This window comes from Homo sapiens, chromosome 17, assembly GCF_000001405.40.
Source record: "Homo sapiens chromosome 17, GRCh38.p14 Primary Assembly".
In the NCBI taxonomy this organism is placed as follows: Eukaryota; Metazoa; Chordata; class Mammalia; order Primates; family Hominidae; genus Homo; species Homo sapiens.
This window is the reverse complement of record NC_000017.11, coordinates 65416673-65440675: the sequence shown is the minus strand read 5'-3', so window position 1 is coordinate 65440675 and position 24003 is coordinate 65416673. Positions and strand designations below refer to the sequence as shown.

The 24003-nt window shown below is 43.8% G+C and overlaps 1 annotated feature.

Annotated features, from left to right (window-relative positions):
* Window positions 1679-2179: an enhancer, noted in NCBI's record as "H3K4me1 hESC enhancer chr17:63434615-63435115 (GRCh37/hg19 assembly coordinates)". NCBI's record gives its function as "activates a minimal SCP1, AML or CMV promoter by ChIP-STARR-seq in primed H9 embryonic stem cells {active_cell/tissue: H9 hESC(primed)}" and the evidence as "EXISTENCE:reporter gene assay evidence [ECO:0000049][PMID:30033119]".

The window sequence follows — 24003 nt, the reverse complement described above, 5'->3', positions numbered from 1 at the left end:
TTCTATTAATATTCGCAGCTTCTCTGCAGCCTAGACAGTCTGTCAAGTTAATAACACCCAACACTAAGAACTAGAAAAGTTCTAAGGGGGCTCATTTCAAGGAGCCATAAGATGAATCTTTTTTCGTAAAAGAAATGTCCTTACTTTGTCTGCTGTGTAAGTTTGTAAGCAAACCTGCCCAAACAGGGGTCATTTAAAAAGCAGGGACATTTCAGATGTGCCTATACAACCAACGTTAACAGCTTTGCCTTTTCCAGTGAATGCTTTTCCTCTGGAGATTACAGCATTAGAAACTTTGCCTTTCTAGTCAAACTCCAATATAAAGCACCACAATATCCCATTCATAAAAATCTGTCTCTTTATAAAGAAGTGATGATCTTATGCAGGAGCTAGGTTGAATTTTACTTTGAATTAGCAAACTTTCTCCTCCTTAACTTCTTCTTCCTCCTAAATCAATGGTTCTCAAAGGAGGAGGGGGCAGTTTTATTGCCCAGGGGACATTTGGGAACGTCTAGAGACATACTTGCTCATCACAACCGAGGGGGTGTTAACATGATCAGGTGAGGGGAGGCCAGGGATATTGCTAAACATTCCTGACAGCACAGGACTGTCCCTCACAACAAAGAATGATCCAGCCTCTAATGTCAATTGTGCCCAGGTTGAGAAATGCTGCCTTAAATTAACAAAAACCACCACCACCAAATGCTGCAAAGTATAAGAAGAGTTCAAATGGAATATGTAAAAGTGCTTTTTGGGGCTGGGCGTGTTGGCTCACACCTGTAATCCCTGCAGTTTGGGAGGCCAAGGCGGGCGGATCACCTGAGGTCAGGAGTTCAAGACCAGCCTGGCCAACATGGTAAAACCCCATCTCTACAAAAAAATACAAAAATTAGCCCAGTGTGGTGGCACACACCTGCAGTCCCAGCTACTTGGGAGGCAGAGGCAGGAGAATCACTTGAGCCCGGGAGGTGGAGGTTGCAGTGAGCTGAGATCATGCCACTGCATTCCAGCCTGGGTGACAGAGTGAGACTCCGTCTCAAAACAAACAAACAAACAAAGTGCTTTTCATTTTTTAAATGCCCTTGAGAACTTAGGTGGACCTACCGATCTATAAACGATAGGCAGAAACGCCTCATTTTTCTGATATCCTTGAAGCAGTTTCTTTCCTAGTCTCTCCTGGATTTGCCTGATTTAATTTATCTTTGGGCGTGAAAGTAATGAGTGCATTTCTTAAGCAAATGTTTATAACAACATCTTCTCGTTAATTAATTCTGGCCTCTTCTCCACAAGTTTCTCGGTAAGTGGGACCTGTCCATCTTCTTGTGGACGCAGAGGACACGTGCCAAGAGAGGGAAGAGCTAAGAGGAATCATGGTGATTCTGAGCTACCCACTTTCCAACTCCTTTGAGTCCAGTGCCAGCCTTGGCAAAAACACTGTCTCCTGAACAAATGCTGTTTAAAAATCCAAAGGCAGCTGTGTGGGAGCAAAGTCCAGGGTGGCAGAGAGGGACAATGGACCCCTGCTGGCTTCCTGCCCACTGTTTTGATCAGCCAAAGCCTGGATTCTCCATCCCTTCTGTGTGCAGCCAGATGAAAGCCAGTGTCGGCACGCATCCTGTTTGTGACGAAGGGGTGTTTACTCACAGGATGGCGCTGGGGAGAGCCTCGACCATGCCTCCAGCAAATGGCCAGATCTGGAATTGCTCAGCAGGGACATGATGGATGAATGTAACACTGCATCTGCAAGGACTGCTCCTAATGAGTCACTCATCACTCAGCATTGGGTCCCACTGAGGGACTATGCTGTGTCCTTAAGTGTGTGTCATTCACAGGTCTGGGGTCAAGGAGGGCTGAAAAGAGGAGGATAAAATGGAGGGAGAGGCATGCAAGAGGGAAGAGGGCCCTGCCGTGTGGGACGGCTGAGTGGGCTCAGCTGAGGAGCAGATTGGCTGGGCACTAGGTTGGCACTGCCGCTCGATCACCCCCTGATGGGGCAGTGGGCAGTGAGGCCAGGCTCAAGGCTTTTTGGGGTTTGAATCCTTTCTGTGGGAGCTTTGCCGCATCTCTCTGATCTTCCACTGGCCCTCACCGGGATCCTTATCTGGGGTTCCTCACCTTGGCTGGGAGGCCTGACCGCGCTTCTGCTTGCTGTTTGGAACTTGGACAGGCTTTATCCTAAGGGGAGGGTCCGTATCCAGTCCCCGACCTTGGTAAAATGAGAGCCTCAGGTTGCTCTCACAGACCCAGAAGCCAGGGAGACAAGGAGTTGATTCTGTCGCTACTCTGCTAAACCAACATCCCAGCCCAAGACGGGAAAAGCCTCTGAGGGTTCTGCCGGCTGTGCCTACCGTAGAGCAGTCATGGTCTTGTCTGCGGGGCTGGCCAACCTCCCTACACGTGGCACAGAAAGCAGCAGGAAGCCCCTTCCCTCCCCAGGTCTGGGGCTGGGGTCGCTTCTCATGGTCACCACCACTCCCTTCATTAGGGAGCTTCCAAAAGGCTTTATAACATTTTCATCCAACTCTAAAGCATCAAAGAAGCCGTGTCTGTAATCCCGCTAATCAATCATATGCATTGTTTACATTCCTCCATGACCCCTTTCATGTTTCATCTGTAAAAATATATGTTTTTATGTAGTTATAATTACAGAACATATATATTTCATTCGGCATTATTTCCTGTGTATTTTTCCTAGGTTCTACCTAGTGCCCATATTTATTATTTTTGCAACTGCCTAATATACCATTGAGTTAACTACACTGAAATTGGCTCCACTATTCCACTATAATTCTACATTTATTTTGCTTTTAGATTCTTACGATTACAAAGAGGTAACCAACATCTGTACACAACTAGCTCTTTTTTCTTCTTCTTATTTTGAATGATTTCCCTCGGATAAATTCCTGGGAGTGGGATTACCGGGTCAAAGGGGATGAACATTTTTATGGCTCTTGATATATATGGCCAAATTATTTTTCAAAAAGGTTGTATCAATTTTCATAGCCACAAGAGATGTGGGGGTATTTTTCAATGAGAGTAGGAGTAAGACTTAAAAATTTCAAAATATAATTTATTGTGTTTTTTTTTCCCCTCCTGCCTGTAATGGGGAAAGTTAAACCTGTAGTTATGTTTCAAGTGGTTTTCACATACAAATGCTCTTTTTTTTTTTTTTTTTGAGATGGAGTTTCTCTCTTGTTGCCCAGGCTGGAGTGCAGTGGCGTGATCTTGGCTCACCGCAGCCTCCACCTCCTGGGTTCAAGTGATTCTCCTGCCTCAGCCTCCTGAGTAGCTGGGACTACAGGGACGTGCCACCACACTGACTAATTTTTTATTTTTAGTAGAGATGGGGTTTCACCACGTTGGCCAGGTTGGTCTCGAACTCCTGACCTCAAGTGATCCACCTGCCTCAGCCTCCCAAAGTGCTGAGACTACAGGCGTGAGCCACCATGCCTGACCATAAATGCTCTTTTATCATTCCTAACGCCCTCATGGTGGTGGTGATTTCTTTCCATTCCTGTAGTCTGCTGGTAAAGGATCCAAACAGGAGGGGACACTTTTGACTGATAATGGAATTAGAGTCGATAGTATACGTTGACTGATTAGATGTGGGCGCTACCAAATGTGAAGACAAGACAAGACTCTCAGGTTTCTGGGTAGGAAGTCCGGATTGTGGTGCCTTGCTCGAAACGGGGCAGGAGAAACTGATTGGGATAGAAGCAGGTCATAACAGGAACTGCAGCTGTAGTTGGAGAGAGGAAACGTTTTGGAACAATGCAGGTTCAAATCCCAACTCTACCGCTTAGTAGCTGTATGAAATTGGCAAATTATTTCACATCTTGGATGCTTTGTTTCCTTATCTGAAAAATGAGATGAAAGGAAGTACTTACCTATGGAATTGTTGTGAGTTAGATAGACAGCATGAGATATTTCAAATGCCTATCACTGTGCCTGCCTTTTAGCAAGAGCACGATACATGGTAACTACATTATCTTAGCCTATCATTATTATTGGGTAACATTAAATCCCAATATGTTTTACTGTGAATGCTTTTCCAAGATGCAAAGAAGCCAGTACACCCTGGGAGGGTAAACTTTTTGTTGTTGTTGTTGTTGTTTGAGACAAAGTCTCACTCTGTTGCCCAGGCTGGAGTGCAGTGGCACGATCTCGGCTCACTGCAACCTCTGCCTCTCGGGTTCAAGCAATTCTGCTGCCTCAGCCTCACGAGTAGCTGTGATTGTATGTGTGTGCCATCACGCCCAGCTAATTTTTGTATTTTCATAGAGAAGGTGTTTCACCATGTTGGCCAGGCTGGTCTCGAACTCCTGACCTCAAATGATCTGCCTGCCTCGGCCTCCCAAAGTGCTGGGATTACAAGGCATAAGCCACTGTGCCTCGCCTCGTTTTGTTTAAAATTTGGACTGTTATTTGCTGCTAAGTTAGAAATGCTGCTTTCCTCAGTAGTTCATTCTACTGTAGGTTGACCAACTAAAGTATGGGGGTGGGGTGGCTACTTTTCTTCAGAGAAGTTTCATTTTCAAGGGCTAAATGGGATCATCTGCTCTAGAATCATCTGTCAATTCTGCCCCCCTCTCTGCTGATTTGATCATTACAATCTCTATTGCTGGAAACCTGATGAACTTCCTCTTGAGAGGCAGGGTGGGGAGCCAGCTGAGAGCATTGACGAGTATTAGAGGCAGGAAAGTGGTCAGATAGACTGGGATTCAAATCTTGGCCCTCCCACTCACTGTCTGATTAGGCACATTGATATACAATGATTTAGTCCCTCCAAGTCTCAGTTTCCTCATCTTTAAAATGGGGATAGTAAATTACTTTATTCAATAGGTTGTTAGAAGATTTAAATGGCATATTATACACACAGTACCCTTTGTAGCTAAGCAAATTCTAGTTGTTAATAATATTATTATTTCCATTAAAGAGGTGGTGAAGAAGCAGGGATGTTATGCTTTAAAATATGTTTTTAGTATGTATATGTATATGTATGTATATGTATATATATGTATATTTGAGACAGGGTCTTGTGCTGTCACCCAGGTTAGAGTGCACTGGCGTGATCATAGCTCATTGCAGCCTCGAACTCCTGGGCTCAAACGATCCTCCCGCCTCAGCCTCCCAAGTAGCTGGGACTACAGTTGTGCACCACCATGCCTGGCTATTTAAAAAAAAAATTGTAAAGGTGGGATGTTGCTATATTGCCCAGATTGGTCTCAAATTCCTGGCCTCAAATGATCCTCCCACCTTGGCTTCCCAAAGAGCTGGGATTACATGCATGAGCCACTGTGCCTGGCCCTCTTTTTGAAATTAATTCACCTTCCTGATTACACTTGAATTAAGCTAATACTAATGTCATTTGGTTTCTGTGGAATCTACTTCAACTGATTGTCAGAAGTTGCATCCCTGAGTGCATATTTTCATTTGCAATGACTGGTTTAGGATAAAAATGGTTGGCTAGGCTTTTCAACTTCCTGTGCCCTTTAAATTGGCATGGACTAAGGAGTATAGGATTAGGACAGCAGTGTGGAATGTTCACATCTCTACTATTTAATACAGAGACTCAGTTCTTAATAGCAGCACTAGATTTATGTAGTCGTTGATAGCATTTGCAAGGACTACCCAGGTGGGTTTTTCCCAAACATTCCCACCTGATTTGTCATACCTCCCCAACAGCCTAAACACTGGATAGTCAGGTATTGGGTATGGCAGCCCCACCCACCGGTGGGTGAAGGGGGCTGGAAAACCACTGGAATACTCATTTTAAGTGGAAAGCAATAAGAATTCAGTCAAAGCTGGCTAAGTGGCTATGCACAGTTATACACAATTATTCAGCCTCTCTGAATCTCAGTTTTCTCATCTGTAAAATGGGGCTAATGAAATACCAAAATGTTGGTACTTTAATATAATATAAACCCAAAACGTTTTTGGTTCCTTTCTTGCCACTATATTTCCAAATTTATTTGTTTTTCCCAATCTCTCACCCCAGACTTAATGTAACTGGGCCTAGGCCAGTTACATTTTCAGGGCAGAAGAACTCTCCTTTGGAAGTGGGAGTCACCACCATCCATTTTTCCTACGAACGGTACTGATATCCAGGGCTTGAAGTGTTCACTGAGGGAAGCGTATCAGCTAACTGTGTGTGCAGCTGCTGTAACATTATGAGCTATACTCCTAATTAATCCCTTGGAATTTCAGGCATTTTTCTTTCTGTCCTCAGCTCTGATGAAGGTGCGTCAACAACTCCTTGCCTCCAAGTTCCTAAATGAGCCCACACCCTCTGCCAGCGCTGCTATAATTTTATTGGAATGGGCCCCATTCCCTTTGATCTCCTCTGGTTCTTAAACCCAGCAGTTGTGTGTTCGAACATCAATGGAAACGGGGTTTCAAGCTTCCTCTTTCATTATCTTTCTCAAAGATAAAAAACAGCAAAAGGGAAAAAAATGTCCTGAGCTTTGTAGATGAGGCAATCTTTTTACAGTAATTTCTTTATCTGAATTTATCAGATCAACAAAGTTGTTTAGAAATGTATGTCCACTCACATCTTCCCATCTTAAAGGTGGTTTTTCTTAGAAATAAATAAAAATGAAATACATCCAAGACATCCCTCACCTCCCTCTACCACAAGCACTAGCGGCTTCTTGTTTTGTCCATTATTGTGGGCGAGGGATAGTGTCTGTGGGTTTCTGGGCTTTGGAAATCTTGAGGTGGGTCTGAGAGCTCTGCAGATCAAAGATGAGATTCAGCCCTTCCAAGGAACTACCCTCTTTTTCCAAAATGAACTTTCTGTTCTTGGCAGTGTGGGGAAAATAGACTTCTAGATTAGAATAATTAAATATCTGACCCACAACTCCCCCAAATGCCTGTGGCTTCTTGGGCTTTGATGTGGGCAGCTTACTGTAGAACGGAAAAGTACAGCGTCTTCTCAAGGCTGTCAGCATCTGAAAGCGAGGAAGGCTAACAGTGAAGAACTCCAGGGTCTCTTTCTTGAAAACAGACAGGACCTCATCCAGAGTCTCTGGGCAGTGGGAATGTGAACAGGCATGAATCTTGCAGGTGCTATGCCTTCGCTTGGCCAATACGTGGGCTGCACAGTCTTGTCTCTGCCAACCACTGCAGCCTTATCTTGAATCCACCATCTCTCACTCTGTTCACCTTCCTTGGCCTTTCCCAATTTTTCCTTCTTGCTTTTCTCGCTCCCACCACAAAGCCTTTGCATTGGGCCATTCTCTCTGCTAGAATGCTTTCACTTCCTCTCTCATATATTTAGGTCCTATTCATTATTCAGCTCTCTGCTCAACTGTGTATTAGTTAGGGTAGGATGAGCTAAGCTGCAGTAACAAATAGACCTTGAAAGCTCAATGACTTAACACAATTAGTCTATTTTTTGCTACTTTTTTTTTTTTTTTTGAGATGGAGTTTCACTCTTGTTGCCCAGGCTGGAGTGTAATGACATGATCTCAGCTCACCACAACCTCTGCCTCCTGGGTTCAAGCAATTCTCCTGCCTCAGCCTCCCAGGTAGCTGGGATTACAGGCACATGCCACCATGCCTGGCTAATTTTTGTATTTTTAGTAGAGATGGGGTTTCTCCATGTTGGTCGGGTTGGTCTTGAACTCCTGACCTCAGGTGATCCCGCCACCTTGGTCTCCCAAAATGCTGAGATTACAGGTGTGAGCCACCGCACCTGGCCTTTTTGGTACTATTAAAGGCTGATGTGTCTCTTTGAAGCAAACACTCAAGGATCCAGGATCTTCCCATTGCACAGCTCTGTCATCTTGGAATGGAGGATGCCAATTTCAAAGAGAAATTGGAATGCGGTGGTGAGTGGCTATGGAAGACTGAATGAAGGATATTTGATGGCCAAGCCTATAAATGGCTTACCTCACTCTGCCTTTACTCCACTGGCCTAAACTTAGTCACATGGGCCCAGCTATGTGTAAGGAAGGTTGAGAAATGTGGTCTTCCTATGTGTCCAGGAGGAAAATGGAAGTTTGATGACTACATAGCCTTGTTTCCATCACAAGTGCCATATCCTCAAGTGAGTCTTTCTTTACCTTCTGCATAGGGTGAAATCTCCCATGTGTAGGCACCTGTTACTTTGTTTTTCTCTCCTTCAGCGCTCTGTCACAACTGCAGCTTTGCAGTAGTGTGTGTGGCTTTTTGGTTAAAGTCGGTCTCCCTGACCACACTATGAGCCACATGAGTGCAGGTTTTATCCAGTTGTCTGTCTTTGGGATGCCCATATCTCCCTGCTCTGTATCTTAGGTGGTCAAGTTCAGTGTTCAGGGATTGAGTGCCCACAATTTCTTTACACCACAACATGAACTTAGGGAGAAGCCCAATAAGGATTTTTGAAAGGATCAACTTAGCATCCTGGGTATCATCATGTCCTGCCTGAAACACAGCAGGTGCTCAGTGACTATCTTTTGAATGAAGGAATTAGTCTGCTCATTGTATTAGTCTGTTCTCATGCTGCTGATAAAGACATACCCGAGACTGAGTAATGTATAAAGAAAAAGAGGTTGAATGGACTCACAGTTCCATGTGGCTGGGGAGGTCTCACCATCATGGCAGAAGGTGAAAGGCACATCTTACACGGTGGCAGGCAAGAGAGAGAATGAGAATCAAGTGAAAGGGGTTTCCCCTTATAAAGCCAACAAATCTTGTGAGACTTATTCACTACCACGAGAACAGTATGGGGGAAACCACCCCCATGATTCGATTATCTGGGGGTACTGGGTCCCTCCCATAACAGGTGGGAATTATAGAGCTACAGTTCAAGATGAGATTTGGGTGGGGACATAGCCAAACCACATCAGCCATGAATAAAGTTTCTAAAGCCTCCTAATTCAGATGCTTCTCTGGACCACACCAGGATGGGAGGGGATAGAAGAGCCTTGAGAAAATATCTTTCTCTTTGTTATGAGGCCGGCTACGTAAGAGGGAACATACATTTCGGATAACAGGTGTGCTGTGTTAACTATCATATTAGTCAACATTCATAACTGCAAACAACAGAACTCACTCTAGAGAGTATAAACAGAGAAGAAATTTACGTAAAAATATTAACGAAAACCAGAGAACCAGGCCTGGAAACTTTGCAGCCTGACACAATGTCCAAATGACCCTAAAACCCTGGTCATTTTCCTTGGGAAAGGCAGGCAGAGCCTGGGACTTAACTGCCCCCACAGCCTCTGCTCTGGAAGCTCCACGTCTACGCTGGAAGCTGGATGTTTGTTTACATAGCCATCCTTTACTAAATGAATCCTGTGCTGTGCCCACTTCTTGGAGGCGTTCCTGAATCCATATCCCATGAAGGTGCTTCTGATTGGCTAAGCCTAAGTCACATGACCATGCCCCTGCTGCAGAGGAGGATGGGAAAGTAAGTTTCTGGCTTCTGTCTTGGTGAGATGCAGACCATGAAGGGGAAAATAACTAATGTGGGGAATGCGGTGGTGGGTGGCTACTGTTCACACAGGACGCTTCAGGGTATGTTTCCAACCTGGAGTGGTTTGGAGATGATGTTATGAGGGTGCGAGGATACCGAACAGAGACTCCTAGAGTGACCCCAAGTGCACTAAAGGCACGCCATAATTTGTTGTTGTTGTTGTTCTCCTTTACAAAGTTTGATGAAAAAGATAGGACTATAGAGCAAAAGATCGGGAGATACATTTTTTGGGTCAGACTCTAAATGTAAATTATTTCAACACTTCACATTGTTTTTCACAAGTTTGCTTTGTTTTCCATTTGAACTTATTTTTAAAAATCAGACAGCAATAGAAACCCAGAGAGGCAGATGGTGAGGTGGGGGGGTTAGGGTAGCTCCAGCCCACCCTCTGCCATCCAGGCTTGGATCCCAGCTGCTTCTGCTGGAACTCGGGCCCTCTATGTCCATCAAGTAAGACAATGGTCTGAACCAGGCCCCTTGGTCGCTGGTGCAGTGCTGGGAGCTGAGAACCCAGCAGCACAAAGCTGCCCCTTTTTCCTGCCTGGCAGGACATACTTTCAGGAATGCCATGAATGCCGGCTGCTGCAGCCCTGGGCATCTTCCAAAGGATGCTCAGTAAGTAGGTGGCGGGAGAAATATTGCAGGAACAGCATCGACAAAGCCTTGGCACCTTCACCAACCTGCAGAAGACAGAGTATGTTGCTGAGCAAGCTCTGTTAGGACCCAGAACTGGGGTTCAGTGAGGGGCGGGAGTCACAGGATCTCAGCCTTGAATCTGGCTACAGGATGTCTTATTGAAGTTACACTTCAGAGGGCATCTGTCTTCTGAAGGTTTAGCTTTCGTTTAACATGGTTAAAGCTAAGTGATGCAGTGGAGAATGACAGGAAGTGCAGGTCCAAATGTCCTTAGATGCCCTTGTAAAATCTGGAAGAGACGTACGAGTCTTACTGTAAGAAGGTCATCAATCTCACAGAGGCCAGGGCATGATACAAAGGATTTATTTGCTTTTCCTAATCAGTCTTACTTTGGTGTCTTCATAATGCTCCTTGGAGAGACACCTGGATGTTCCTTCTCTCTCTTCTCCTGTATCAGTTAGAATAGGCTAGCTATGCTGCCATAACAAATACTCCCTCAAACCTAGGAGTTTAAAATATGCAAATGTTAGTTTCTCACTCACTTCATGTGTGCATCGTGGGTTGGCAGGTGTTCTGCCCCAGGCTGATCTAGCTGCCATAGTCATGAACATCACCAGCTACCATGCTAACAGAAAAAGAGAGCTCTGAAGGGTCTCTCACTGGCAATCAATTACCCCAGCATGGAAGCAATGCCCATCACTTCTTCTTGGCTTAGTTGGCATGAACTAGCCACCTGATCCCACCCAACAGGAAGTGGGCCAGGACATGCGATCTTACCTATACAAGATCTGGAAACAATGGATGTTAAGCACGTACAATTACTTAATATCCCTTCCTCTTCAAGATTCTCTCTTCTTTTTTGCCCCTCTCCTTTCTCTTCATGGAGTCCCATTCCGTGAAGAATGCTAATAGTCACATTACATCTTATCTCAATCTTAAGCATTAGCGTAAGAGGACATCTTTGGTTTTTCAGAGTGAAGCCCTAAATGAGATCCTCCTTGCTTTTGCTATTATTGATGGCCTCTCAGAGAATACCTTTGGTAGGTTACCATGCTGATAAAGTCTGTGTTCTTTTATGCTGTTTTACTGAAGAACTCCAAGGGTGAGTGGAAGAGGGAGAGAGAGAAGTGGCTAAGGAATAATGAAAATCTTATCTTGCTACATATGTTTTCTCTTAGAATTAAAGACATGATGGCCAGGCACAGTGGCTCACGCCTGTAATTCCAGCACCTTGGGAGGCCGAGGCGGGCAGATCACGAGGTCAGGAGATCGAGACCATCCTGGCTAACTCGGTGAAACCCCGTCTCTACTAAAAATACAAAAAATTAGCCGGGCGTGGTGGTGGGTGCCTGTAGTCCCAGCTACTCCGGAGGAGAATGGCGTGAAATGGGGAGGCGGAGCTTGCAGTGAGCCGAGATTGCACCACTGCACTCCAGCCTGGGTGACAGAGCGAGACTCCATCTCAACAAAAAAAAAAAAAAAAAAAAAAAAAAAATTAAAGACATGATGGCCGTGAGTCATTCTTCTGTTTCTCTGGTCCTGGGTGAGGAATACCAGTGCTCTCCTATACAAGCATAATGAGGCAGAAGTTCACCCAGGTATGGCTTCAAAAACTGTATACCAGCAGTTCTCCAGCTGTGGTCACTGGGCCGGCATCATCAGCATCACGCGAGAACTTGTTGGAGATGCAGATTCTTGAGGCCCACTCTAGACTGATTGAATCTAAATCCCTGGGGGTGGTATCCCACAATCTGTGTCTGAATAAGCCCCTCAGATGATTCTGCTACTCAGTAAAGTTTGAGTACCACTGGTGTATGCTGTCACTTTCTGTGTGATCTTGGGCAAGAACCCGAACTTCTCTTTTTTTTATTTATTTTTAAATATTTTTTATTTCTATAGGTTTTTGGGGGAACAGGTGGTGTTTGGTTACATGAGTAAGTTCTTCAGTGGTGATTTGTGAGATTTTGGTGCACCCATCACCTGAGCAGTGTACACTAAACCCAATTTGTAGTCTTTTATCCCTCACCCCTTTCCCAACCTTTCCCCGAGTCCCCAAAGTCCATTGTGTCATTCTTATGCTTTTGCATCCTCGTAGCTTAGCTCCCACTTATGAGTGAGAACATACAATGTTGGTTTTCCATTCCTGAATTATTTCACTTAGAATAATAGTCCCCAATCCCAACCAGGTTGCTGCGAATGCCATTAATTCATTCCTTTTTATGGCTGAGTAGTATTCCATCATATATATACATATATATATATACACACACACACACACACACACACACACACACACATCATATATATGTACATACGTGTGTGTGTGTATATATATGATGGAATACTACTCAGTATATATATAAAATAAATATATATGTTGGAATACTACTCAGCCATGAAAAGGAATGAATTAATGGTATATAAAGGGTGTATATATGTGTGTGTGTGTGTGTGTGTATGCATATATATATGCATCAGACATTGTGGAACAGAGACCATATATATGCATACACACACACACACACACACACACATGTGCACACACACACACCACAGTTTCTTTATCCACTCATTGATTGATGGACATATGGGTTGGTTCCACATTTTTTCAGTTGCGAATTGTGCTGCTATAAACATGTGTGAGCAAGTATCTTTTCTGTATAATGACTTCTTTTCCTCTGGGTAGATACCCAGTAGTGGGATTGCTGAATCAAATGGTAGTTCTACTTTTAATTCTTTAAGGAATCTCCACACTGTTTTCCATAGTGGTTGTACTAGTTGACATTCCCACCAGCAGTGTAGGAGTGAAGAACCTGAACTATTCTGAGCCTTCGTTTCCTCACCTGCAAATTCAGAATAAGGACCCCCACATGGCATGGTCAATGGAGTTGTTAGTACAGAGAATCGAATACAGTCTCAAGCACCATTTCCATCCTTTCTTTTCTTCCCTGTGTAAAATAATATTTTCCCAAAATGACCACAACAGGATCTCCCATGCCATGCTCTTCTTACACTGTGACAATTCTCCCATTGAGTGGGGGCCCACATCCCCTCCCTTAAACCTGGGAAAACCTTTGTTCACTTCCTCTGCCAGTAGAGTATGACTGAAGTGATGCTGTGTGACTTCTAGGGTTAGAGCAGAGAAATACCACATACTTCCACCTTGCCCTCTAGGAATGCTCACTCTTTAGGCTCTTGAAATCCAGCCACCATGCTGTAAGGAAGACAAACTAGCCCATATGGAAAGACCACATAGAGAGGCCAGTGTAGGCCAACAACCACCCTGAGGTCTCAACTGAACTGATATCAACTATCAGATGTGTGAATAGTGATATCTTTAGATGATTCCAGTCACCTCTAGTCATCAAGTCTTCCCACCTGAAGCATCAGACATTGTGGAACAGAGACCAGCCTGCTTCACACTGCCATGTTCACACTGCTGCTCATATAACATCAGGATGATAGAATGGCTGCCTTATGCCAGTCTGTTTTGGGATAGTTTGTTTTGCAGCAATAGAAAACTGAGGTGCTACCCACATGTTGACCTGGGAATGAATTCAACCCAGCTGGCCTTCAGCACCCAAGAGTGAAGGGGCAGAAGGTGGTGACAGTTAAATGGAAATGTGAATAAGAGGCAAAACCCCCTTTGTGGGAAATAGGAGACTAGAACTCTAAAGAGTAAGCAGTAGGAGGCTGAGATGGAGAGGAATGTGTAGCTGTTGTTCACCAAGAGATAGCCCCTCTGAAGATGTCCCACCAGGCTCACCCCTAACATTTATGGGGCTCAGGATGGGAGTACAAATAGAGGCCAATGCACCACATAGCTAAACAATTGAAAGGAACAAATCAAGCCCACAAACTATTAAATATGTTCCATCCTCCCATTGTGACATATGTAAGTTCAGAACAACCTGGAAGGTCCAATTCTTGAACTCTTCAGAATGCCTCGCTGGAAGGTGGTGACATATGATAATGATCAGATCTTAGTCCCTTCCCTTCCCACCCCCAGCTCTGTCTCAGTATCCTCATTTGTAAAATAAGGCTCCAGATGCCATCTACCTCTCAGCATGTGATGAAGATTAAACGTGATAACCATGTGCTGGCATGTAGTAATTACTCAATAAATGGGAATAGTAATAATAGTATTTTGACTTTAAATATTTAAAGGGCTATCACGTGAAGGAAATCTTTGATCTATTTTGTATAGCTCCAGGGCATATAATTAAGACCAGTGGTTCAAAGTTACAGGGAAGCAGATTTTGGTTCAACCTAGACGAATATTTTTGTCATGAGAACGCACTGAAAATAGATTGAAATCCTTCAGGAAGTCGAAATTTAGAGCCATTTCATATGTCAGATAGACGCTGGATTTGGTGGCCTTAAAGTTCACTTCTAATTCTCATGTTGTGTGAAATTACCTTTATTGTTTTTTGTTTGTACTTGGGTTTTATCCAATTGTCTGTCTTTGGGATGCGTATATCCCCCTGCTGTATATCTAGGTGGTCAACTTCAGTGTTCAGGGATTGGATGCCCACCATTTCTTTATACCACACCAAGAACTTGGAGAGAAGCCCAGTGAAGATTTTTGAAAGAATCAACTTAGCATCCTTGGTAGTTATAATAGTTAGGACAATTCTAATTGAAGTTTCTGAAACCCAGCTAGCTTAGCAAAAGAGGGGAACTTGCTGGAAAAATACTGGGTGTATTAGTCCGTTTTCACACTGCTGATAAAGACATATGTAAGACTGGGTAATTTATAAAGAAAAAGGGGTTCAATGGACTCACAATTCCACGGGGCTGAGGAGGCCTCACAATCATGACAAAAGATGAAAGGCACGTCTTACATGGTGGCAGGCAAGAGAGGATAGGAACCAAGTGAAAGGGGTTTCCCCTTATAAAACCATTAGATCTCGTGAGATTTATTCACTACCATGAGAATAGTATGGGGGAAACCGCCGCCATGATTGAATTATCTTTCACCAGGTCCCTCTCACAACATGTGGGTATTATGGGAGATACAGTTCAAGATACAATTTGGGTGAGAACACAGCCAAACCATATCACTGGGGCATAATGTAGAATCCAAAGAAGAGTTGAACTCCAAGTAGCAAGAAGGTCAGGAAAGCACTGAGTTCAGGGCCACCTGGAATCTAGGGACCAACACATTGCCAAGATATCTTATATTAGTTCATTTTCTTGCTGCTAATAAAGACATACCTGAGACTGAGTAATTTATTAAGGAAAGAGGTTTAATAGACTTACAGTTACACATGGCTGGGGAGGCCTCACAATCATGGCAGAACGCAAATGAGGGGCAAAGTCACGTCTTACATGGCAGCAGGCAACAGAGCTTGTGCAGGGGAACCCCCATTTATAAAACCATCAGATCCTGTGAGCCTTATTCACTCCCACGAGAACAGTATGGGGGAAAACCCCCCACAACACACACACACCATGGTTCAATTATCTCTACCTGGCCCTGCCCTTGGCACATGGGGATTATTACAATTCAAGGTGAGATTTGAGTAGGGACACAGCCAAACTGTATCGTGTCTCTCCCCTGAATCTTTCTGCTGTGGCTGCCTTCTTTCTGCTCTCCCCTGATTGGCTTTATCGGTAAGGTGGATTCCATGTGACCTGGCTACTGCAGCTTCGTAGATTGATATTTTACAGCTTCAGCTACCAGAAGGCCTGGCTGTCTTTCTCAGTGCCAGTCCCACATTTCTCAGGAAGAGACCAGGAGCCTGCCTTTGACCAATCAAATGTGGCCAGGAAGGCAGCAGGGTTTTGTTATATAAAATGGTTGTTTCTATGATAGTCACACGGTGGTGGGGGCTAGGGGGTGGCAGGATGGGAAACTGGACTGGGCAGACACATCTACTGTCCAGGTCCCAGATCTTGGGCCTCTCTGCTGGGTGAGGGACCATGCTTGGCTTTTGGCTCTCTTGATGGAGACTGGTGGGATATCTTCCTTGCTCTGGAGTAAGATGGAAGTGAAACAACGAGGATGTATGTAGGAACGTCACTCATTTGTCTAGGACGTTGTGAGTGATTTCTTTGCTGAATTGGATAATGGCTTTTGAAGCATGGAAGTCTTTCCTCAATCTTTTGTGTGTGCCATTCACAATGTAATGGCTATAGAAATGACATGCTTTTAATATTAACCTGCATTTTTAACATTTTCTCCATCACTTTTTAAAGTCTGGAAGTCCAGAGGACAGTAAGTCAAGCCCTGGTCTGTAGCATCTGCCAATTTCCATGGTGTAAACACTCTCACCGTGGTCAATTTCAAGGGACCACTGGGACGTCACTGAACAGGGATCTGGGAAGGAGTGCACAGCAGCACAGCTTTCTGCACTATTTCCACCCCGCAGATATTCCACAGGTGAATAACCCCAAGTGTGCAGATAACAGTAGAAAGTTGTAAAATAATTTGGAGTGATACATTTTGAGCTTTCATTACCTGTGTTTCCAATACAATTTATTTAATTATACATTTATGTAATTTAACTTTGAAGAATGGCTTTGTTTCATAACTGGTTTGCAAAATTCTTGAAAATTTGACAGCTGGAGATTGCGAGCTGGCACTGACCAGCTCTGGCACCCCCTGGGGTTTCCCCAGAGCTTGGCATGAGACCTGCCACAGAGGAGACACTGAATGCATGCCTGCCTGATGAACGCGTATTGTCCACCTGGTCTCTAACTCTCTGAGGGCCTGGCCAAGTCACTCACCTCCTCTTTCTGTCCCTCTAATGTAAGAGGCTATTAATGCTTACTTCATAGAGGTGCTGTGAGAGTTAATTAAGGTTTGCTAAATGCTTTGAAATCCGTGGATGAAAGGCCCAGTTGGGGAGAACTTTATGATTATTCTCATGCATCATCTTAAGAAGTGTATGGTGATGATACCCACCTGGTACTTTTCATCTTCAAAGTGTTCTCCAGACATTAGCCAATTAAACGTCACAGTTCCCTGCCCAGTCAGTGGGTGTCCTCCAGGGAGGGAACCACGCAGCAAGTGGGTGACTCCTTCCCCTCTTGGCCACCAGGGAGTGGTGGTCAGAGCCAGGATTCCAGCTCCTCCAGCTGCAATCTTCCGCTGGGCTCTGTTTTGACCCTCCCAGCCCTCCATCTTTTCTGCTTCTAGGTATGGTGAGGACTGCTTAGGCTCCGGGACTCTGAAATCACGTTGCTTCTTATATAGTGTGTGTGATGCTACTCACTGAATGTTTTCAGTGGTGAGATGCATTTTTTCCCTACAATTGAACATCTCTGAAATCAGTATGCATCTTATAACTGATGAAGGGTTATAGTTCAATTAAAAGTGTTTTTCTTCTTACTAGTAAATAATATAATAGTGCATCATACAATTGTTGTCGTATGTCAACAATTGTTGAAATATATTACCACGATTTCTATTTGTAGTTTATTGTAGATTTGTAGTTTTTTTCCTGCTGATTTTCTAGAAGAACGTTTCTTCTCTCCACCCCCATGATAACAGTAACATATGGTCATTATAGTACATGGAAAATGCAGATAATTAAAATGAAGGACAGGCAACAATAATCCCAAGTTTCACAACCCAGAGGTCAATGCCAGTAACACATTACTATATTTTCTTTCAGCCTTTTCTCTTTTCTTTATTAGGAACAGTTCCCTCCTCTGGTTATAAAAGGAACTTATGTCCCCTGTAGAAAAATCTGAAAATACAGAAACTGGTGTAATACTAACTACAAAACACTGATAATCACATCGCCCAGAATGACCACTATTAAAATTGTAGTAACTATTACATTTCTATATGACATAAGTGAGCCATGTTAGTTATTTTTAAAAAGACAAAAAAAGTCTATAGTTAACTTTCAGATAAATTTCCTTCTATCTTATATCTATTTGTCTATATTTCTATCTGGATATATATGTGTCTATATTTATATCTATGTACACACATACAATTGGAAACATAAAGCATGTATAATTTCCCCTGATTTTTAAATTTAACTTGTGTGCTGTTCAGTGGTATCTATCAGAGCTTATGATTATATGATTGATATAAATACTCTATGACTCAGCAACTCTATTCTTAGGTGTATGCCTATATTTGTTTGCTAGGACTGCCGTAACAAAGTACTACAGACAGGGTAACTTTTTTTTTTTTTTTTTGAGACGGAGTCTTGCTCTGTTCCCCAGGCTGGAGTGCAATGGTGTGATCTTGGCTCACTGCAACCTCTGCCTCCTGGGTTCAAGCGATTCTCCTGCCTCAGCCTCCCAAGTAGCTGGGATTACAGGCACGCACCACCACACCCAGCTAATTTTTGTATTTTTGGTAGAAACGGGGTTTTACCATGTTGGTCAGGCTGTTCTCAAACTCCTGACCTCGTGATCCACCCTCCTCTGCCTCCCAAAGTGCTGGGATTACAGGCATGAGCCACCACACCCAGCCCAGACTGGGTAACTTAAAACAACAGAAGCTTACTTCTGTATGGTTCTGGACTAGAAGTCCAAAATTAAGGTGTCAGGGCTGGTTCCTCCTGAGGGATGTGAGGGAAGGATCTCTTCCTCGCCTCTCTCCTTGGTTTGTGGATGGCCGCCTCTACCTGTATGTTTGCATGGACTTCTTTCTATACGTGTGTGTATTCAAATTACCTCTTCTTATTAAGATATCAGTCATATTGGATTAGGGCTGACCCCAATCACCTCATTTTTAACTTAATTACTTCTGTAAAGTCTCTGTCTTCAAATATGGTCACATTCTGAGGTACTAGGGGTTAAGACTTCAACATATGGGGCCAGGCGCAGTGGTTCCTGCCTGTAATCCCAGCACTTTGGGAGGCTGAGGTGGGCTGATCTCTGAGGTATGGAGTTTGAGACCAGCCTGGCCAAGTCTACTAAAAATACAAAAATTAGCCAGGCACGGTGGTGTGCGCCTGTAATCCCAGCTACTCAGGAGGCTGAGGCATGAGAATCGCTTGAACCCATGAGGTGGAGGTTGTGGTGAGCTGAGATCCCACCACTACACTCCAGGCTGGGCAACAGAGCGAGACTCTGTCTCAAAAAAAAAAAAAAAAAGACTTCAACATATGAATGAGGGGGCACAACTTATTCCCTAGTAATACCCAAGTGCTTATGTTCACCAAAGAATGTACAAAAATGTTCATAGCAGCTTTATTCATAATAACCAAAAATCAGAAGTAACCCAATGCCCAGCAGCAGTAGAAAAGATTTAAAAACGTGATACATTCATACAATGAAATACTATACAGCACTAAAAAATCAACTTCCGCTACACATAACAACATGCATGAATCTCACAGATATGAAGTTGAGCAGAAGAAGCCAAACACAAGTCTCCAGACAGTTTGAGTCCATTTACATGATATTCAAGAATATGCAAAATAAATGTATGATGATAAAGTCAGAATAGTGGTTAGCTCTTGGGTGGGTGTGCAGTGGAGATTACATAGGACTACCTATGTGTCCAGACTCAGTGACTGTAAGCTTAAGATTTATGTACTTATGTTAGACCTCAATGTTTATGAATGCTCTTACAGAGATTCCCTGTATTACTAGAGATTTTTCTAAAACATGCTGTCCAGTGACTACAAAATGTCCCATTTTTCATAAAATGGCCAATGATGGCTGATCACTTATCACATGCCAGGGACTGTTCTAAGGACTGCTGGTACTAAGTGAATTAATCCTCACCAAACCTTATGAGGTTAGTTACCAACATTATCCCCAATTTGCAGATGAGGAAAACCAAACACAAAAAGCTAACTTCCTTAGGTTAACATCATGAGGGGTCACCAGCAATCTGATTAAGAGGTCACATGCTCAACCACTCTGCCACACTGTCCTTCTGGTCAGGCATCATGACACCTGCCCCTCCCTCTCCCCATGCAAACAAATTGCAATTGATTGGCTATTAGGTTGGTGCAAAAGTAATTGCGGTTTTTGCCATTACTTTCAGTGGCAAAACCTGCAATTACTTGTTGTCTCCTTGTTGGACATTCAGATCAATACCTTTTTTCTCTATTATAAATAAAGCAGCAACCAACAGTCTTGTATCTTTTTCTGATTTTTTTTAAAAAAGTACATCTTTTTCTGCATCCTGATTCTTCCTGTAGCATAGAGCCCTAGGTTCCTACTACAGCATCCAAGTCTTTGAATTTGAGAGCACTTGATCCAAATTGCTAATTTGTTCTCCAGATAAAGTAGCTCATATACCTGCAATTAGCTGCTCATTTACGTATCTTCATAACACATCTCACTTCTATTAGGCCACCCAGAAAGGTCCCGGTCACTGGCCGTCAGTTGATTTGTGCTCAGAAAAGTTAGAATGAAAATGCTATTTATGTGTATATGTGTGTGTGTGTATTATATAGATAATGTTGATGAAATAAATACCCACACATACACACATGCTTCCAAATTAGCCTTCTAACTCTGTTTGGTTCTAGTGAGTCTTAGAATGAAAGACCAGAAGGAATAGCTCTTTGAACAATGTTCACTTCAGTTCCCATGCATTCTGGTGGATTCTGAGAGCTTTAATGAATTGACTCCAAGTGAAGAATGACCCTTTGGTTACAGGGGAGAGCATGATGTCAAAGGAGCATGTAGATTTTTTGAAAAAAAATTTTTTTTTTGAGATGGAGTCTCGCTCTGTTGCCCAGGCTGGAGTGCAGTGGCATGATCTTGTCTCACCGCAAACTCTGCTTCCCGGGTTCAAGCGATTCTCCTGCCTCAGCCTCCAGAGTAGCTGGGACTACAGGTGCCCGCCACCACGCCTGGCAAATTTTTGTATTTTTAGTAGGGACAGGGTTTCACCGTATTGGCCAGGCTGGTCTCGAACTCCTGACCTTGTGATCCACTCGCCTCAGCCTCCCAAAGTGCTGGGATTACAGGCGTGAGCCACTGTGCCTGGCCAGGAGCATATAGATTTTTTAAAGTATTTTTTATTTTCTAGTTGTTTATCTACATGCCTGTCCTTTGAAGCAACGTGATTTTACTTCTTGGTTGATGAGACCCGAGAAGCTGTTCCTTTCCTCCCAAAGAACTTTTATTTACATACTTATTTGATGAAAGAAAGCGTGTATCAGTAGCTATATCAGGGTTTAAATCACAGACAGAAAATGCCTGATAAATATCTATTTGATTTGAGATTATATGTATATATATAAACCTGTACTCTATGATGTTCCAAATTATTTTCTGATATTTTATTCAATACTTTATTTAATATATTAAACAACACTTATTGATTATCTACTAACTGATCATCAACTAACTTATTGACCATCTACTAACTATTGGATAGATGATAAACATCTTGTGGGCTGGGCTTCTTATCCTGCATTGATAGCTTCTAGATCAGCAATAGGGCCCTTGGCATTTGAGTGGGGAGCATAAAAATCTCCAAGTCTGTGACTTCAGCCGTAGAAGATAATTCCCCTACAAAATGCACTGTGAAATAGTAACACTGCTACCTTATAAACAGTCGTGTCTAATAAATAACACCTCTTTCCTTTTTTCCAAGTTCCAAATCAAGACAGGAGTCAGATGGCTGGAGATAGTGATTGAAGCTGGATTGGAGGCATGGCTTAGGCATATGGCCCCAATGGGCTTTCTAATATTTCATCCCTGAGCTAGATGTTCCTACCCACCCAGACCCTGGCAGAGGCAAAGGCCCCCTCTGCCAGGGCGAGAGCCTTCCATGTGTCAGAGAAGCATTGAGAATGCACTGCCACTCTGTGGCCAACGTGAGCCCAGGAGGGACTGAGCTGAGTATGCCCGGTTTCTCCTGCCAACCTCACCAATCAGACCAGCAAGCCCTGCTCCCAGGAGCAGGGCAGAGGTGGGTGGGGAGAAAGGCTTGGACACCACCCTGGTGGAAGCCTGAAGCCAGGGGGATGAAGTGCCCCTGACAGAAGCCCTTCCTGAGATCATGTTTCCTGCAAGAGGTGGGAGTCCTGGCTGAGTCTCACTTGGTTTAGCAACTTTTTCATCCACATCAATGCTGTCTCGTTCATTGGCTGCACATAATTTTTATGCAGCTTGGAGCAGTCTCTGAAATTGCTTCACAAATCACATTTTCTTGTTTCCAGAGGGGTGTGCGTACGCGTGTCTTTGCTGTTCACTGCCATGACCAAATTCTACTATTTATCTAAAATTTCTATTTACTTATAAGAGACTTTATATGGGAGGCTGAGACAGGAGAATCACTTGAACCTGGGAGGCGGAGGTTGCGGTGAGCCGAGGTCCCACACCGTTGCACTCCAGCCTCTTAATTCTTTTTTTCTTTCAGGGTTATTGAGAGAAGTTTTTCTGTTGTTGCCATCGTTGATGGTGGTGGTGATAGCAGTGGTTTTCTTTTCATCATCTCATGGGAATAACTTGCATAGGATAAGCTTCAGCTGCCTGGCTCAATCACTGTTCCTTCCTGGGACCTGCAACCCAGACCTGCCACATTGCAAGTAGCATTCAGTTGGGTTATTAAATAATATCCTCAGACCATTGAGACATCTCATGAGTAGCTGAAACAAAAATTACGACATCTAAAAATATCAAGAATCTAGAACAAGGATTGGCAAGCTTTTTCTGTTCAGGGTCTGACAGTAAGTATTTTCAAGATTTGTGGGCCATGTGATCTCTGTTCCAGTGACTCAATCCCACTGTTGTATTGGGAAAACAGCCATGGATAATATGTAAACAAATGTGTGTGGCAGTGTTCCAATAAAACTTTATTTACAAAAACAGACTGCCAGCCAGAATTGGCCCCAGGGGTTCTAGTTTGCCATCCTTAGTTTGGGCACTGAGTGGATCTTTCCTAAGCACAGTTGATCAGCAATTATAACAAACCACAATGGCGAGACAACGGTTCTAGTCCCAGCTCTGCCACTGACCAGCTGCGTGACTTTGGGTAAGTCACTGAGTGTCTCTGGAACCGTTCCGTTTTCCCTTCTGTAAAATTAAGGGGTGGATCTGCATCAGAGGCTGCAAACTGGCAATCCAAGATTGCGTCTGGCTCACAGATGTGTGTCATTTGGCCCATGAAGTATCCAAAACATTTTGAATTCATTTCCAACATTTCAGATGGGGAGATTTCATTTAAAAAATCCAGATTTCTGGCTACTCTTGAAATATCAGAGAATCTGGCACCCCTGGGCCCACATTCTCACGTGGCAGCCATTGGCCAGGGCTAAGTGCAGGGTCTAGTTATTCTGCCTGGGTGTGAGCACCTACAGAACACAGCAGCCTCCTGCTGGCCCACTTTGACCATTTGCATTATTGCCTGACACTGGAGCATTTTGGTCTATGACCACACAGGAGACCTCTGGTGCCTTTGAGTTTAATAATCTAGTGTTTGTTAAGTAGTCCAGACCATTACTTAATTATTGTGTAGTAGATGCCTGTATCCTCTTTTCCCTTCCCCTTTTCTAAAGTCCTCAGTCCGTGCTGGAAAGCCATGTAGTGGTTGGGGAAAGACAGCACTACTATGCACTAAGCCAATCAGCACATCCTGTCCCCTCCCTTGCCATACAGTTAGTTCAGCATTGATTGGGTGTACAATTCATCAATGCGTCAGAGTGGCTCTCAGTCTTGGTGTGGAAAGCTGGGAGAGAGCTGTACTCTCCTTCTGCGGGGGGTGAGGAGTGAGGCCTTTGACTGCTTTGGAATCGCTGTTACTATAAGGGAACTCTACCCTAAACCAATAACTACTGACTGGGATGGGCAGATAAATGCCCTGCTCCCTTGCTCTTTGGGCAGGGTAATTTGAAGATGCACGCTCTACACTGTCTCCTTGCGTTGCTCCATGGGTTATGCTCCTGTTGCCGTTAGTGGTCACTTGCTTGACAACACACCTGTTTTCACCATCTTCCTTGTTCCTGTCTCATCTCCCCACTTCCTAC